Source organism: Homo sapiens, chromosome 21, assembly GCF_000001405.40.
Source record: "Homo sapiens chromosome 21, GRCh38.p14 Primary Assembly".
In the NCBI taxonomy this organism is placed as follows: domain Eukaryota; kingdom Metazoa; phylum Chordata; class Mammalia; order Primates; family Hominidae; genus Homo; species Homo sapiens.
Window position 1 is genome coordinate 39058550 of NC_000021.9, and position 18576 is coordinate 39077125.

Sequence of the window (18576 nt, forward strand, 5' to 3'; positions counted from 1 at the left end):
GATGCTAACTTACTATCCTCTGATTCCGTGGAAAGCTTATTTGCCATTTCTGGGATAGTTTGCTATACCCATTCGCAGGTTGGCCAGGATGACAGGGAACACCTTGTGTTCACATCTATTCTTGTCACCTGCTGCTCTGCTTCCTAGACACATGGCCAGACCAAATTTCCCAGTGTCTTTTGCAGATGGGTGAGGGTGTGACCATTCTGGCCAATGGAATAGGTGCAGAAGGAACTTATGCCCCTTCCTGGTCTGGCTCATAAAAAGCTTCTGTGTGGGCCGGGCGCGGTGGCTCATGCCTGTAATCCCAGCACTTTGGGAGGCCGAGGCGGGCAGATCACCTGAGGTCAGGAGTTTGAGACCTGCCTCAACATGGAGAAACCCTGTCTCAACTAAAAATACAAAAAAATTAGCTGGCGTGCTGGTGCATGCCTGTAATCCCAGCTACTCGGGAGGCTGAGGCAGGAGGATTGCTTGAACCTGGGAGGCGGAGGTTGCGGTGAGCCGAGATTGCGCCATTGCACTCCAGCCTGGGCAACAAGAGCGAAACTCCGTCTCAAAAAAAAAAGCTTCTGTGTGGTCTTTCATACACGCAGTCTCCTCCCACATCCACCAGCTGAATGGAGGAGATGGGAAGGCCCTGGAAAATGGAACCACCGTAAGGCAGGAGCCTGGGTCCCTGAGTGATGCTGTGGAGTAGACTTTCTCCCCCGCAAGTTTCTGCCATCACCTGGACTTTACATGAGTAAGAAAGAAACTCCATTGTTCTGAGCCACTGAAAAATTGGGGTTGTGTGTTACAGAGGTTAGCCTATGCTGACTAACTCAAACAGTTTCAGTATGTGGACCTCAAGTTTGTCTCACACACACATACAAATATATACACATAGATCAACGACACAGAAGCCACGCAGACAGAAACGCCAGGACACAGCCACCACCTATGACCGTGCTTAATCTTCTCTCAATTCTTGCAAGCTCCTCTCATGCACTGAGAAATGTCCCAGATTCAAGCATTATAATTGCTGTTATTTTTAGCAAGTTATTAAAGTTATATAAGTTATAAAGTTTTATAAATTATATAAGTGACCACTCTTGCTCGTGGAAAAATACCATAAAATGATGCATGGTTGAAGAGGCTCAGATTATCAGCAAGACGAGACCCTGGAAATATCAACCCTCCTCATGGATACTTGGAATTCAGTGTCTGTGAACTCCGTTTCGGGGACTTATGCCAAAGAGAGTTCCTTGTCACTTTCCTTATGGATCAAATGATCTCCATTTGGGAAGCTTCAGGAAACACCCAGCTAAGGTGAGAATGCAGCCAGCTTCTCCGTCCCAAAGGAAGACTTTGGGCTGTTTTGGGGTTTGTTTAAACCAGGCCCCTTTGTCAAAATTCTGTGAAGCAAGACCCACCTTTGTGGGTAGAGAAGAGTCCAACCCAATGCATGGATTTTAGTCCTGCCTCTGCTTTCTCCTTTTCTAACCTGTTGCTATTCAGGGAATCTTTCTAAAACTGGATAAAAATGTAATGCAGCAAATGCTTATCCAGTATATGCAACGTGCAAAGCTCCAAGTTCGGCACTTAGAAAGACGCTAAGATGGGGAGCGACACGGCCCCTGCCCATCTATCTCTGTCCTAACTCCCAAGGGTCTCTCCTTCTCCACTCCCAACAGTGCTGGGAGGTAGACAAGGGTTGCTGCCCCATTTAATGGATGAAGAAGCTGAGGCTTACAGAGCACAAGTTGTCTGCTGAAGATCACAAGGATCGATGGTGGCAGAGCTGAAACCAAACTGCAGATCTGTTGGGCATCCAGTCCAGCTCCACGCTACTCTCACCTCACTGCACACACGTGGAAACTTTATTGCAAACACTCCAAATTATGTTCAATTACTGGAAATATCAAAATTTGAGACCCAAACAAATTATATCTCAACCAACAACATTCAACCCAGGGGAAAGGCAGTTAAAGGGTATTTTACACACACACACACACACACACACGTGCACACACATGCATGCACATACATACACACACACTCAAATATCAAAATTTGAGACCCACACAAATTATATCTCAACCAACAACATTCAACCCAGGGGAAAGGCAGTTAAAGGGCATTTTACACACACACACACACACACACGTGCACACACATGCATGCACACACATACACACACACTCAATCCCTCACTCCACCTCTGAATTTCCTAGAGCATCATTCCACTCTGCCCTTTGCGAGGCCCATATTCGTAGCCTCTCTTGGTGTGGAACCACAGGGATAAGTCACAATATGTTCCCTCCCGGAATAAATCACCTGTCAGCTGTCCTGCAGCTAGAATTTCTCGGTGACCTGTCCCCAGCTGGTCCTGCTGTGACAGCCGCAACTTGGGATTCCTATTTTCCCTGGGAGCAGGTGACAGCTTGCAGGCTTGCTGAAAGACACCCATCCCAGCTTTGACGGGGCATCTGCAGGGCCCTCACCTTCCTCTGCAGGGTCCCCGAGCCTCCTGCTCATCCATTTCCCCTCCAGCACCCCCAGAGCAGCCTGGAGCCAGCCTGCAATGTCAGACACAGGCAGCAGGTCACTCAGGCCCATGCACAGAACCTGCTGTCCCATCTGCCTGGGCTGTCCCCAAGGCACAGGGGCTGCGGACACCCACCAACAGGGGGGAACCCAGAGGAGGGGCTCATAGAAGCAGGAGGACGGAGCAGGGCTGACCAACAGGCACAGGGACACAGCCCGTCAGCACTACCTCTGCTGTCTCTCTCGGTGGTTTCTGAAGGACCACTTACTGCTCAGCCCATCTTCAGCCCCTCTCCAGATCCCACCAACAGGGTTTAAGAACCTTTGCTATTTCTGCACCAACAGTTTGGTTTTCCAAACTGGGAGGCTTGTGATCAATGTGCCCTGATTGGAACCACCACCGCCACCCCCCACCAGCTGGACTGAAAGGCACCTCACTCAGAAGGAGCTAAAATCCACAGCTTGCAGTGTGACAGAGCTGGAGGAAGATGTAATAGAGGAATCAACGCATTTTCCAAGCCATTTGGGGACCGTGGTATGGTTCGGCCCATAGAGTCTCAGTCACCCCATGGAGGAGCTCATCAATGAGGCTTCAGAACAAGGCCTTAGCTCACTGGCTGGGTTCACATGACCCCACCATCATCCTCAGAACAGGAGCAGAGGACGAGGGATGGACGAGAGCAGCTGGGCGTCAGTGTGACCCGCTCTGAGACTCCCCAGACCTGGCGTCTCATTTGACCTGAGGGACAAGCCCTCTGCCCGCCTCTCACATGGCCAGGCCACCCCCAGCTCTGCGTGGACAGGCTGCTGTCTACGCTTGCAGAGCTGCTGTCATCTGAAGGCATCACCCACTCCTGCTAGATGGGACCGGATGAGCCACCACCAGGGGACGAACTTCCTGCATCCCCATGTGCCCCTGGGCAGTTTCCACACTGCTGGCCTCCCCAGGTATGTAACTCCATGCATGGGCCGACCTCACCTTCCTAATGAGACCTGGTCCCTTGGGGCCAGGACAGTGGGGCCACTTCCTATAGCACAGCGCTGGTCAGACAGGAGAGAGGTGATGAATTCCCAGGCAGTGAGCCCCATTCTCCTTCCCCTCCTCACCCTTCCTAGAGCCTGGGGAAGCCTGCAGGCCACGGCCCCCCTCTGCGGGGTCCCCACACATGAGTCCCCATGCCTGATCCCAGACGTTCTACCCACAGCTGCCCACGGCAGGCATGGAGGTGACCAGCACCCAGGAGCTACCTGGCCTGAGGCCTCCAACACACAGGCTCACCAGCACGGGGGAGGGCTGCAGCCCAGCCCAGCCCTGCCGCTGCAGGCAGAACATGAGACCCACAGGAAGGCACCAGCTTTAGGGTGAGTCAGGCTGAGAGTCACACACAGTGTGGGCAGCTGAGGCCATGAGGCCTCAGGCCATGTGCAGGGATCCTGGATGAGCCTCCACTCCTTCCTGCCCATACCTGAGACGAAAGATGCTCAGGGTAGCAGTAGTCTCGAGGCGGTAAGGCAAAGGCCAGCGGGGACGCTTGTAGGCAGCTAACACAGTGAGAGCAGAAACAAGCACTCAGCCCTCCGGGAGCTGCCAGCTTCACGGGAACGAGATCCTCTCCAGGGGATCTGGAGCGGCTGCGTGTTCCGCACATTAATCCTCTCCATGAGACCTGGTCACCTTTCTCCCCCTGAGTTCCTGAGCATCGCAGCTGGGGAATCTGGGCAGGGCCCCGTCATCGCCTAAGAAAATCGCTGCACCATGACAACCTGCAGCTCGCTAACCCCATTCTGCATTCATCTCAGCCTTCCCTTACTGCCTGTGTCTTACTTAATTTGCAAACATCTTGCACCCTCGCTTTCACCAGATCCTGGACTTAGAGGCAGTGTTCTTGTCCATAGAATTGTGCTCCGAGGCTGCACGCCCACCTCTCCAATGCTATTTCACCTTGCTCCATTCACTCGCCTCTCCAGCCCCATGTTTGTGGTGCCAGCAGCAGTGGGGAAGGTAGGAAGGAAGCTGGTGCATGGGGACAGGCAGCAGGGCTGCTGGATGGAGTGTCCCAGTGTGCCACACAGTGGCATCCAGCTTCCACCCTCCGAGCCAGTCAAGGTCAACCAAGAGCCACCAGGTGTCATGTCTGGAGATGGAGAACAACGGTGGGAGCAGCAAGAGATGTAGAGGGATGCGGAGCCTTCTCAGAGAGGACACGTCTTTCTCACTTCTACCTCATGACAGGTGCCCGAAAATATTGTACAGGTGTATTCAGAAAGAGTAGAGAGCCACGGATGTGAGTAGTGGCGGTGAGCATTAAATGCCACACTTACCTGCAGAACTAAGGATGAGTGATGGTTATGATGGAGAGAGTGTGGCTGGCAATGGCGTTATGCTCTGAGAGTGAGACACAGAACAACCCTATCAAATGGTGGAATGATGGGAAGTGCATATAAAGAGTAGAATAAACCTCCTGATTGCCTTACAGGTATTAACCAGGAATAAAAGGATGTTTTTCAAATCAGATGCTGGAGAAGAGGTAGGAGAAAGAGAAGAAGAGGTTATAGCTGCTTTCAATATTGCTCACAATAGGGAACTGAGAGACCATAGGCAAAAAGAAAAGAGAGATAGGATGATTATTATATACAAGTATTAATAGAGAGGTAACCAAAAATATACACCTTTTGTGGTAGATTTAAGACAGCCACATAGGCTGGTGTCTCACAACTGTCATCACAGCACTTTGAGAGGCTGAGGTGAGAGGATCACCTGAGGTCAGAAGTTTGAGACCAGCCTGGGCAACATAGTGAGACCTGTCTATACAAAAAACATTTTAAATTAGGCAGCCATGACAGTAGACACTAGTAGTCCCAGCTACTCAGGAAGCTGAGGTGGGAGGATCACATAAGCCCAGGAGTTAAGAGGCTACAGTGAGCTATGATTGCACCACTGCACTCCAGCCTGGGTGATTTTTTTTTTTTTTTTTACAGACCCTGTCTCTAAAATATATATATATATTCTTTGCTACTTCTTTGCTGGGTGCTGTGGCTCACTCCTATAATCCCAGCACTTTGGGAAGCCAAGGCAGGAGGATCACCCAAGGCTAGGAGTTTTGAGACCAGCCTGCACAATGTACCAAGATCCCATCTTTGCTAAAATAAAAAAATTAGGTAGGCATGATAGGCAGCTCTATAGTCCCAACTACTCGGGAGGCTGAGGTGTGACAATTGTTTGAGCCAAGGAGTTCCAGGCAGTGAGCTATGCCACTGCACTTCAGCCTGACCTGTCTCTTAAAAAGAGAAAAGAAGAAAGAACATGGTGGAAGTGAAGTGACATTCTGAGACTTGTGAGGTTAGGCCATTAGAACTCTTGCAGTTTCTGCCTGGCCCTGCTGAACATGCTCTCTAGGAGCCCTGAGGCCAGGTGAGGAGTCCAAGCACTCTGCAGGTGCTCGGCCTAAGCCTCAGCTAAGCCTCACCCTCTGGCATCCACTTCAAGTCACCAGACATGGAAGTCAACAGCCACTCAAATACTCTAAACCAACCCATTCACAGCTGAATATAATTAAGTGACTTCTGTTCAGGACGCCTGAAACAGAAGAATCACCCCGCCAGTCCCTGCTCAACTGCCTGGCTCACAAAATCATCTGTCAGTATGAGTTCATGATGCATTTGATCTCAAAGGAAATATAAACTATCTTTAAGAAGATACTGTCCCCTGAAAAGGCCTAGAAATGTATCATCAACCCAGCAGCACTGAGCACTGTCATGCTGCACTGTGGTCTCTAAATACCATTTCCTACCAAAAAGAACGGGGCTGCCTGCAGGAATGGCTGATTCCAGATCCGAAAATGAAAATACACACAATGAATCTAAAATTGTGTCATCCAGAAATCAAAGAAGCTACCAAACATTAATAGGGGCATGCCAAAAGAAATCAGGAGTTCATCTGAATAAAATCTTACTCATCAAAAATAAAGGCCAGGCATGGTGACTCACACCTGTAATCCTAGCACTTTGATAGGTTGAGGCGGGTGGATCACTTGAGGCCAGGAGTTCAAGACTAGCCTGGCCAAAATGGTGAAACCCCGTTTCTACTAAAAATACAAAAATTAGCTGGGCATAATGGTGCACACCTGTAATTCCAGCTACTTAGGAGGCTGAGGCACAAGAATGGCTTGAACCTGGGAGGCAGAGGTTGAAATGAGCCCAGATTGTGCCACTGCACTACAGCCTGGATGACAGAGGGAGACTCTGTCTCAAAAAAAAAAAAGATATAATTTAAGCATCAATAAAAATAATAACTACAATAGGCTGAATCCATAGGTTCATAATAATATTAAAAAGCTCACTGCTCACAACTGGAAGATGGTCATGAACCACATCGCTACTCTGAAGTTGATAAAGAGAAAAGATAAGGCATTTACTAATCTTTGCCTTCACAATACAAACTGCAGGATAACAAAAGAATTGATGGGCGAAAGGATTCCAATTAGTAAACAAAGAAGGGATGATCTAATGTCACATTTTGAAACTCCTAATGAATTCATGGATCAAGGCAATGGAAACCACAAGAAAACCTGAGAGAAGCTGGTTTTAAATACTTTCTGATAGAAGAGCCCAGCAACATCTATGAAGTCATCTTAACACTCAAGAATTTAAACTCAAATCTGATCAAACCTCTAGCTCCAACTACTAAAGTTTAGGAAAAGCAAGGCATAGAGAAACATGTTAGACAAAAGCATGGCACTATAGGAAGTTACAAGGCAAATGCGTTGATTTTTTCAATTAATAAATGACCATACAACCAGAGAGGGACTTATGAACCAATTTAAACAAACTAAACTTGTTTGGATCCCAATTCAAATAAATCATCCAAAAAAATTCTTAAGACAATTTAGGAACTGTAAACACTGACTAAGTATTTGCTGATATTTTAAAAGATTGTTTTTATATGAGATAACAGTATAGTGGTTATTTGTTTTTAAGTTCTTTGTCTTTTCCTTATCTTTCAGATACACACTGAAACATTTAGAGATAAAATTATCTGATTCTTGGAAACTGCTTCAAAACAATTGGGTAAGGGCAAAGATTAAAGAGGTTAGAAAAAACAAGATTGGCTAAATTGATAATTTTTGAGGCTAGGTGGTCAGTACATTCGCTTCATGATAAATGGCTCTCTAACTTGGTATATGTTTTTAAATTTTGCGTTAAGTTTTTTAAAAACCATGCTGACAAATAATTTTCAGTAACATAGAAAATGCTTATGACACAATATTACGTGGGAAAAGGCAGGAAAAAATATCAATATAGTAAGATCCAAGCTATGTAAATCAGTATGTTCAATGCCCAAATGTTTGCAGTGGCTATTTTGGGTGGTGGGCTTATTATGGATAAATGTCATCCTTTACACTAATTTTCCAACTTTCTTTTAATACAATGGGCACATATGACCTGGCGAATTAGGAAAAACAGATAGTTATTTTAGTTTTTAAGAGTAGGTGAACTATGAGCCATTTGAAATAATACTCTTGAGTCTTGAGTCTTGAGTGATGTGTTTAGGTAACATCCTCTGAGAGAGAGCTGGCACCACCCCAGGGTGCCTCTTAGCACCTAAAAGTCACATCTGGTGTAAGATGGCAACGTGCCACTCTGTTTCTGAGGCGCCGTAAACAAAGGATTGATACATTTATGTTTCCACTCAGTATGACCAAAGGAATGAAAAAAGTGCAATAATCTCACATATTTGACTCTCGGATGTCCCCAAAGGAGCGCAGCTTGGTAAATGACTATCACTAGGTAATCACTGTTCTAGAAACTTCTGTGCCAGAGACAACTTGGGCGTTTTACAGTTTTTGTTCTGTTGCAAGACGTGATCCAGGGGATTATGCACACTCCTCTCCTGCCTTTCTCCACAGGAAAGCAGACTGTTAGTCCCTCAGCAGGGCAGAGCATGCCAGGTCAGGGGCTCTCTCAGCAGACATTTCCTCAGAGGCCCGAAGCCCTAGCACCTCCCATAAGCAGGGCCTTGCTTTCCAGTGGAGTGTTTGTGTAAAAGGAATTTTTATGCCAGTGCCCTCTTAGGAATCTTTCTTTAAAATCATATGAAAGAAATGCAGAGAGAGATCTGAGTAAATCCTATACAACCCATAAGCCTAGAAAGTTCCAGAAGCATTCAGAATATTAATACAGCCATCATCAGGCCTTTTCCTCTCCCATGGAGTCATTGGCACCCTGGGAGATCTGGCTGGATAGTTCTGTCCATAATCTCTTAGATTTCTTGGTGGTTTTGTTTTATTTTATTTTTCCTCTTCTTGATATCCCTCCTGAGGATGATTTGACCTTTCTGGTAAAAATCTTAACTTGGGAATTTCTTGGATTTCCTGCCTGGAGATTATCACTCCAACATTTCCATATCGCATCTGCACATCTGTGTGGTTTCCAGCATTTGTACTTCATTCCGTCACTCCCCAGTGGCTCTCAAATGTCTTCTCCAATCTCAACAAACTGCCCTCTGGGGCTGTAAGCTCCATTTTTATCGATGGGAAAATAGAGACACCAAGAGGACTTGGCGAGGAGCGAATTCACCCTTGCCTGGACCCTGCTCCAGCCACGCTGGCCGGCCTCAGCGAGGGGCACCCACACACACAGGCCCAGTGCTCCACTCAGACACCTAAGGAGGCAGAGGCTCCATTAACACACCCTCATCCTCACCAGGCTTCCTTCTTTAGCCACAGGTGTGTCTGCCGTGACTGCATCTACCCCAGCATCAGTATGCAAATAAGCCAAAGGTGCAATGCATGGACTGACCTCCACGTAGATTTCACAGGATGGAACTGCCGTTTACAGGAGTCCTGTATATGGGAATCTAAACTTACCCATGAAAGGCAGAAAAGCTTCGGGAAATCACTCTTCGGGAAAGTAGAAGAAGAACTTAGATAACCCACCACCTCCCAGAGTGCACCCAGATGGAATGGATGCATCCTTCCTCGGGCTGAAAGGTCTGAAGAGAAGCTCCCTAGATCAGAGCCTCTCACCGGATTAAAATCCAGATGCAGATTCAGTAGGTCTGGCACGGCCTGACATTCTGCATGTTAACAGCCCCTAGTTGATGCAGATGCTGCTGGTCCTTGCAGCCCACACTTTAAGTAGCAAAGATTTAGAGCTGAGCTGCCCAATACAATGGCCACTACCTACTGTGGCTGTTGAGCCCTTGAAATGCAGCAAGTTATAATTAAAATGTGCTGCAAGTATAAAATACACACAAGATTCTGAAACTATTCCAAACAACAGATAAAGAGGGACTCCTCCCTAACTCATTTTATGAGGTCATCATCATCCTGATACCAAAACCTGGCAGAGACACAACAAAAAAAACATTTTAGGCCAATATCCCTGATGAACATTGATACAAAAATCCTCAATAAAATACTGGCAAACCAAATCCAGCAGCACATCAAAAAGCTTATCCACCAAGATCAAGTCAGCTTCATCCCTGGGATGCAAGGCTGGTTCAACATACGCAAATCAGCAAAGGTAATCCATCACATAAACAGAACCAATGACAAAAACCACATGATTATCTCAATAGATGCAGAAAAGGTCTTTGATAAAATTCAACACCCTTCATGCTACAAACTCTCAATAAACTAGGTATTGATGGAACGTATCTCAGAATAGTAAGAGCTATTTATGACAAACCCACAGCCAGTATCATACTGAATGGGCAAAAGCTGAAAGCATTCCCTTTGAAAACCGGCACAAAACAAGGATGCCCTCTCTCACCACTCCTATTCAACAAAGTATTGGAAGTTCTGTCCAGGGCAATCAGGCAAGAGAAAGAAATAAACGTATTCAAATTGGAAGAGAGGAAGTCAAATTGTCTCTGTTTGCAGATGACATGATTGTATATTTAGAACACCCCACCGTCTCAGCCCAAAATCTCCTTAAGCTGATAAGCAACTTCAGCAAAGTCTTAGGATACAACAGCAATGTACAAAAATCATAAGCATTCCTATACACCAATAATAGACAAACAGAGAGCCAAATCATGAGTGAACTTCCATTCATAATTGCTACAAAAAGGATTAAATACCTAGGAATACAACTTACAAGGGACGTGAAGGATCTCTTCAAGGAAAACTACAAACCACTTCTCAAGGAAATAAGAGAGGACACAAACAAATGGAAAAACATTCCATGCTCATGGATAGGAAGAATCGATATTGTGAAAATGGCCATACTGCCCGAAGTAATTTATAGATTTAATGCTATCCCCATCAAGCTACCAATGACTTTCTTCACAGAATTAGAAAAAACTACTTTAAACTTCATATGGAACCAAAAAAGGGTCTGTATAGCCAAGACAATCCTCAGCAAAAAGAACAAAGCTGGAGGCATCATGCTACCTAACTTCAAACTATACTACAAGGCTACAGTAACCAAAACAGCATGGTACTGGTACCAAAACAGATATATAGACCAATGGAACAGAACAGAGGCCTCAGAAATAATGCCACACATCTACAACCATCTGACCTTTGACAAACCTGACAAAAACAAGCAATGGGGAGAGGGTTCCCTATTTAATAAATGGTGTTGGGAAAACTGGCTAACCATATGCAGAAAACTGAAAGTGGACCCCTTCCTTACACCTTATACAAAAATTAACCCAAGATGGATTAAAGACTTAAATGTAAGACCTAAAACCATAAAAACCCTAGAAGAAAACCTAGGCAATACCATTCAGGACATAGGCATGGGCAAAGACTTCATGGCTAAAACACCAAAAGCAATGGCAACAAAAGCCAAAATTGACAAATGGGATCTAATTAAACTAAAGAGCTTCCACACAGCAAAAGAAACTATCAGCAGAGTGAATGGGCAACCTACAGAATAGGAGAAAATTTTTGCAATCTACCATATGACAAAGGGCTAATATCCAGAATCTACAAAGAACTTAAACAAATTTACACGAAACAAACAACCCCATTGAACAGTGGGCAAAGGATATGAACAGACACTTCTCAAAAGAAGACATTTATGCAGCCAGCAACATGAAAAAAAACTCATCATCACTGGTCATTAGAGAAATGCAAATCAAAACCACAATGAGATACCATCTCACGCCAGTTAGAATGGCCATCATTAAAAAGTCAGGAAACAACAGACGCTGGAGAGGATGTGGAGAAATAGGAATGCTTTTACGCTGTTGGTGGGATTGTAAATTAGTTCAACCACTGTGGAAGACAGTGTGGTGATTCCTCAAGGATCTAGAACCAGAAATACCATTTGACCCTGCAATCCCATTACTGGGTATATAACCAAAGGATTATAAATCAGTATACTATAAAAGACACATGCACATGTATGTTTATTGCAGCACTGTTCACAATAGCAAATACTGGGAACCAACACAAATGCCCATCAATGATAGATTGGATAAAGAAAATGTAGCACATATACACCATGGAATACTAGGCAACCATAAAAAACAATAAGTTCATGTCCTTTGCAGGGACATGGATGAAGCTGGAAACCATCATTCTCAGCAAACTAACACAGGAACAGAAAACCAAACACTGCATGTTCTCACTCATAAGTGGGAGTTGAACAATGAGAACACATGGACACAGGGAGGGGAACATCACACACCAGGGCCTGTCTGGAGGTGGGGGACTAGGGGAGGGATAGCATTAGGAGAAATACCTAATGTAGATGATGGGTTGATGGGTGCGGCAAACCACCATGGCACGTGTATACCTATATAACAAACCTGCACATTCTGCACAGGTATCCCAGAACTTAAAGTATAATTTAAAACACACACACACACAAGATTTCAAAGATAGAATGAGACAAAGAAGATAAAATTGTTCACTAATCATTTTTATATCAAATATATGATGAGATGATACGAATATATTGGTTTAAATTAGCTATGGTATCAAAATTAACTTCACTGTTTTTTTTTTTACTTTAAATACTGGGATACATGTGCAGAATGTGCAGGTTTGTTACACAGGTATACACGTGCCATGGTGGTTTGCTGCATCTATCAGCCTATCATCTAGGTTTTAAGCCCCGCATGCATTAGGTATTTGTCCTAATGCTCTCCCACCCCTTGCCGCCCATCCCCCGACAGGTGTATGATGTTCCCTTTCCTGTGTCCATGTGTTCTCATTGTTCAACTCCACTTAAGAGTGAGAAAATTCAGTGTTTGGTTTTCTGTTCCTGTGTTAGTCAAAGGACATGAATGAAGCTGGAAGTTCACTATTTCTTTTTTATTTTTTAACATGTGACTACAAGAAAACTTTCCATTATAAAAACACCCCATGTTTCTATTGGTCAGCACTGATCTGCAAGACTCTACAAGCTTTAAAGCTAAAATTCTTGAAAGTGCTCTTAGAAATGGTTTTATATGCTTGCCTTCTCCTTGGAAATATACACAATTTATCAACCTGCCAAAAAGGTCTTATCCATCCACCTCTTCTCACTAGGAAGTAGCAAGAGAAAGGGCTGATCAAAGCCAGATAACCTGTCCCACATAATGGCCAAGGCTTCCTTTGAATAATATCATGGTGGCTTTTGATTTTACATAGCCAATTCCAGATAAGAGAGGCCCGTCCTTGTTAAAATGACTGTTAAGTCCATTCAACATAATATTATCTAAAGACCGACTATCACTCCAATTTCTGATAAAAGCAACAAATGTGGTTAGAGTCCCAGGCTGATCTTTTGCTTGGTTAACACAATCCAGTCCATTTTTTCCTAATGATCACTTCTTTTCTTTCAGCTGAAATGTCTTTCTCATTAGCAGACATTTTTGAAGTAGAGGGGTTGTTTGTTTAAGGCTTCAAGACCAAGGCAAACATTTGTTATAAGGCTCCAAAGGAATTTGCAAATAATTTCCATCCATGATTTCCAAAGCCACAGGCTGCTTGTATAACATTTGTGCAAAATGCGTGGGCTGCTCCCATGAAGCAAGCATTGCCAGAAATGTTTACTCTGCAGGAGTAAAGCTGTGTGTTTGTCACTCTGTTTGAAAACTTCCACATGGCAGCTCAATGGGTAGAGTGTGGAATAGACACTCCATGGATGGCCACGGAACTCTCCATGCCTGTGTCCTCTGATGAGCTGCCCTTGCAGGATTTGACACCTCTTGATTCACTGTGGCTGTCACCTCTTTGAATTGTCTTCAGTTAAGACTGATCACACAAAGGCCAAGTACAGAAGGGTTCTCCAGCTCTCTAAATGCAGGCCATCCCATGAAGTTTAAGAATAGAAAAGCCCTGGACAGTCGTGGGACAATGTTATAGCATAAATTGTGTCCCCAAAAAAGATGTATTGAATTCCTAACCCCTGATATCTCAGAATGTGACCTAATTTTGGAAGTAGGGTCTTTACAGAGGTAATCAAGTTAAAATGAGGGTATTAGAGTGGGCTCTAACCTAGTATGACTGATGTCCTTATAAAAGGGGGGAATGACACAGACACAAAGGAAGAACTACATGAGGAGACACCGAGAACCATGAGAAGATTGGACTTAGGCTGTCACAGCCAAGGAATGACTGGGGCTACCAGAAGCTGGGAGAGAGGCCTGGAACAGATCTCTCCCTACGGCTCTGCAGAGCTTGGATTTGGTCTTCTCTCCTCCAGAACAGCAAGAGAATAAATCTCTCATGTTTTCAGCCACCCAGTTGGTGGCATTTTATTACAGTAGCCCCAGGACTAATACAGACTTGAATTCTAACAGTTCCCATGACTTTTGGGGTTTTTTTTTTGCCATCATTCTCACATGCCATCCCACCTTGGTCCCTTAGTATGCGTCAGTGATCTGGGGGTGACCACGTATAGTGGCAGCATCTTAAAAATGCATTCTATAGGTTGCCAGATTTAACAAATACAAATAGAGGATGCCTAGTTCAAGTTGAATTTCAGATAAACAACAGATAATTTTTAGTATAAGTATTTAGTATACTATTTGTAAGTGTTTAGTATAAGTATTTACTATAAGTAATGTCCTTCAGACATACTTATACTAAAAAGTTTTCTGTTGTTTATCTGAAATTCATGTTGAAACTGGATGTCCCGTATTTTATCTGGCAACCTAAATAATAAGCATCTTTGAAATACTCTAAACTCCCTGGAAAAGACATGTGTTTGGTGCCACGAGGCGGGCTGGGAGAATTTCCATGAGGCTGGGCCAAAACACAGGGTTCATTGCTTGGCATCAGCTCACTTCTGCTTCCACAATGAGAAGCAGAAACTTAATTCCTCCAAGGAACAATTAATTGGAGTAGAAAGCTTGATTCTTGCATTTCCCATGTAGGTCACAAATTTCTGTTGTTGCAATGTACCTAATACCTATGTTGTGGTTCAAAATGTAGCATCATCTTAATGCATGCCCATAACTGAATTGTTCCGCCTAAAATGAGTGTAATCACCCTAACCCTAAACTATTCATAACAGACAGGTGAGCTTCAGGGGTGCATGACCCACACAGCCACACAGGGCCTTGCGCTCAGGACCCCACACTTGATTCAAAACTCTGCAGTCACCGTATTAAAATTCTCAGTAATTTTTGAGCAAGGGGTTCTGCATTTTTATTTTGCACTGGGCCTCACAAACGATGTCACCGGTCCGAGGACAGGTGTACCTAATAACACGTCAGCTGCTGCACAAAATGCTTCCATCACTGAAAAGTGACAGATGCCTCAGCCTATTCTTTGCTGAACTCGCTTCTAAGCAACTAGAGCCCTTTGGCCTGGCACCTCTCCTCTGCCACGTGCTGCTGTCTCCAGCATTGCTTTAATTTAATTAGTGTCTGGCTGGTTGAAAAGACTGTTTTTGATTCTGTGTGTGCTGTATGAGCTGTTGTCTGGATTCTCTTCCAACTTGGCCTTGGGAACACCCAGTGTCGAATCTGCTGTCTTTGGCTCTGTAAGACTGTGGTTTTTAAAGGACAATTGTTGCTCATAGCAACTTGAAGGCTGGATGGAGACTTGCCTGAAGCCCCATGAACCAGCAGATTTGGGGCTATTTAATTTCCCACCAGTAGCTGATTCCAAAGGTGTGCTTGTGTGGAACCAAATCTCTCTGCCATCAGCCACATTTATTTTCTAATCTTCATTTTTTTTCCCTCCCTTCTCATGTACAGGGTTCAGCTTTCTTTCTCCTCCTCTAAGGTTTTCCTTCCGAATTCCCCTTATCCCTTTCCTTGTCCTCTCCCTGTTTGTAACCCATCCACTATTCCACATGCCCCTAGCTGACCCATTTTTTGCTCAGGTCTTTCTCCAGGGGAGAAGAACCAAAAGATGAGATTCAAATTGATTTTGCTGCTCATTAATGTCCCTTTCAAAGTTCTTGACGAGGGTGATGAAGCCAATGCCTAGGGGAAGAAATTTCAAACATTGGCTTTCCAGTTCCATTCCAGTTCCCCACCAATGTCTTCAGTGATGCCACCATGCAAAGAGCATCAGGAAAGGAGCACTGAATTCTGGCTCAAAGTCACTTCTCTGTGACTTTGGCTAAGACACTGAAACTCTCAAGATCTTGATTTCCTCATCTACAAAATAAGAGTGCTCAATTACATAATAATCTCATAGAAACCTATAATTTGCACACCAAAGTTATAACCATTAATTATCCCACAAAGCACAGCAGGAATTTTCTAAATCTGAGGCTTGTGATCCACTGTATTAGTCAGCAATTGCTGTGATAATGCTACATAACAATCCCAACTCTTGTGGCTTAGAACAACAAACATGTATTTCTTGTCTGATGGGCCAGAGATCTGATTTGGTCCAAACCCATCCAAGGATGTCTCTATAGCCCCAGCATGCTCCAAAACACACATGACCCTTGAAGACAGGGAGCCCTGACCTTGTTCTTGGTCCTCTCATTGGTGAGTCCAGTTGGATCTGTTTGTCTCCTATCAGGGAATCTACCCCGATATTCATGTAGGTTCTTTTCTATTTTCCCTAAGCATTGGCCAGCTTGAGAAATAAAGGGACAGAGTACAAAAGAGAGAAATTTTAAAGCTGGGCACCCGGGGGAGACATCACACGTTGGTAGGATCTGTGATGCCCCACAAGCCACAAAAACCAGCAAGTTTTTATTAGAGATTTTCAAAAGGGGAGGGAGTGTGTGAATAGGTGTGGGTCACAGACATCAAGTACTTTACAAGGTAATAGAATATCACAAGGCAAGTGGAGGCAGGGCAAGATCACAGGACCACAGGACCGAGGTGAAATCAAATTGCTAATGAAGTTTCAGGCACCATTGTCATTGATAACATCTCATCAGGAGACAGGGTTTTGAGATCAACTGGTCTGACCAAAATTTATTAGGCAGGAATTTCCTCTTCCTAATAAGCCTGGGAGCGCTATGGGAGACTGGAGTCTATTTCATCTCTGCAGCCTTGACCATAAGAGATGGCTATGCCCAGGGGGGCCAGTTTAGAGACCTACCTGCAGGCGCACATTCTCTTTCTCAGGGATGTTCCATGCTGAGAAAAAGAATTCAGCGGTATTTCTCCCATTTGCTTTTGAAAGAAGAGAAATATGGCTCTGTTCTGCTCAGCTCACCGGCAGTCAGAGTTTAAGGTTATCTCTCTTGTTTCCTAAACATTGCTGTTACCTTGTTCTTTTTGAAGGTGCCCAGATTTCATATTGTTTAAACACACATGCTCTACAATTTGTGCAGTTAATGCAATTATCACATGGTCCTGAGGTGACATACATCCTCCTCGGCTGACAGGATTAAGAGACTAAAGTAAAGACAGGCACAGGAAATCACAAGGGTATTGATTGGGGAAGTGATAAATGTCCATGAAATCTTCACAACTTATGTTTAGAGACTGCAGTAAAGACAGGCATAAGAAATATAAAAGTATTAATTTGGGGAACTAATAAATGTCCATGAAATCTTCACAATCCACGTTCTTCTGCCATGGCTTCAGCCGGTCCCTCCGTTTGGGGTCCCTGACTTCCCGCAACAGTCTCCTTGGGATTTTGATTTGTCTTTGATCAAGAAGGGTTAGGCTTGTGCAAACGGTGGTATACCTACAATCTCAATTGTCGACGTTTGCCAGACAACGGCTTTGCTCGGGGCCTGGGGCATTGGCCACAAATCTGTTCAATTAATACCAATTGACCAAATAACCAAGATGTTATATTGGCCAAACTAACAGACTGCAGTGTTTTACAGGATTGCTTAAGAACTTTAACAGAAATGTTTTAACATTAACAAGAATTTGGTTTCGATTAATAGATATATAGAAACACATATTTTATCATCAGTAACTAAAATTGTAGTATTTAGCATTGAAGTTGTTTATATTATGCTAACATCTAAGAGACCAAAAAATAAGCTAATTGATTGGCCTGATGAATAGATTTTAACCCAAGACACCATGTACAGTTGCAAAGGCTGTGCACTATACCACCTCAAGAACTCTATGTGCATAGCCATGATGTGAGTGTGCCTCCAAAACTGCATAGCACAGCAACCATGGCTTCAACAAATTCACTCCTCCTCAACCTAAGACCCCTGTCTTCATATTAATTGCCCATTTCTCTGTGACCATGGACTTTTTCTCTGGTTCCCCAGAGAAAAAGAGAGATGACTTTTTCTCATTCCCCAAAGCCATCACCATCCTGTCCTTTTCAGAACCCCATAACAAGACCCTCTTTGTTAATGCATTTCCATTCTGTTCTCTGACTCCCCTGCCTGCTTACACCCAACCCCACTCTGCCAAGAAATGTATGCACATCCTAATGCAGACATGTTGTGCAAACAAGTCTTTTACCTAAGAACTACTGCAGGTGCAGGAATCCAGCACCATGAAGGTTGGAATGGGGAAGTTTACCAGCAGCAGATGGGGCATACCTGATGGAGAAATTCCAAAGAGGGATAATAAGACTCTGCCTGCCTCCTTCATGGAAATATACTCTGAGGTGGAAATGTACACAGTGTTCCCATAAGGGGCTTAGAACCATCATAAATGCATTATGCACAGATACAGCATAAATGTGGGGATGGGGGGTCACAAGTGGC

The 18576-nt window shown here is 44.4% G+C and overlaps 1 long non-coding RNA gene across 2 annotated transcripts in view, besides 2 other annotated features; it reads right to left on the reverse strand.

Annotated features, from left to right (window-relative positions):
• The window catches only part of LINC02943 (long intergenic non-protein coding RNA 2943), a 56010-nt gene that overhangs the window by 30026 nt on the left and 7408 nt on the right, over positions 1-18576 (reverse strand). The window lies entirely within an intron of this gene.
• Positions 3743-4325: an enhancer, noted in NCBI's record as "H3K4me1 hESC enhancer chr21:40434218-40434800 (GRCh37/hg19 assembly coordinates)". NCBI's record gives its function as "activates a minimal SCP1, AML or CMV promoter by ChIP-STARR-seq in primed H9 embryonic stem cells {active_cell/tissue: H9 hESC(primed)}" and the evidence as "EXISTENCE:reporter gene assay evidence [ECO:0000049][PMID:30033119]".
• Positions 16586-17372: an enhancer, noted in NCBI's record as "OCT4-NANOG hESC enhancer chr21:40447061-40447847 (GRCh37/hg19 assembly coordinates)". NCBI's record gives its function as "activates a minimal SCP1, AML or CMV promoter by ChIP-STARR-seq in primed H9 embryonic stem cells {active_cell/tissue: H9 hESC(primed)}" and the evidence as "EXISTENCE:reporter gene assay evidence [ECO:0000049][PMID:30033119]".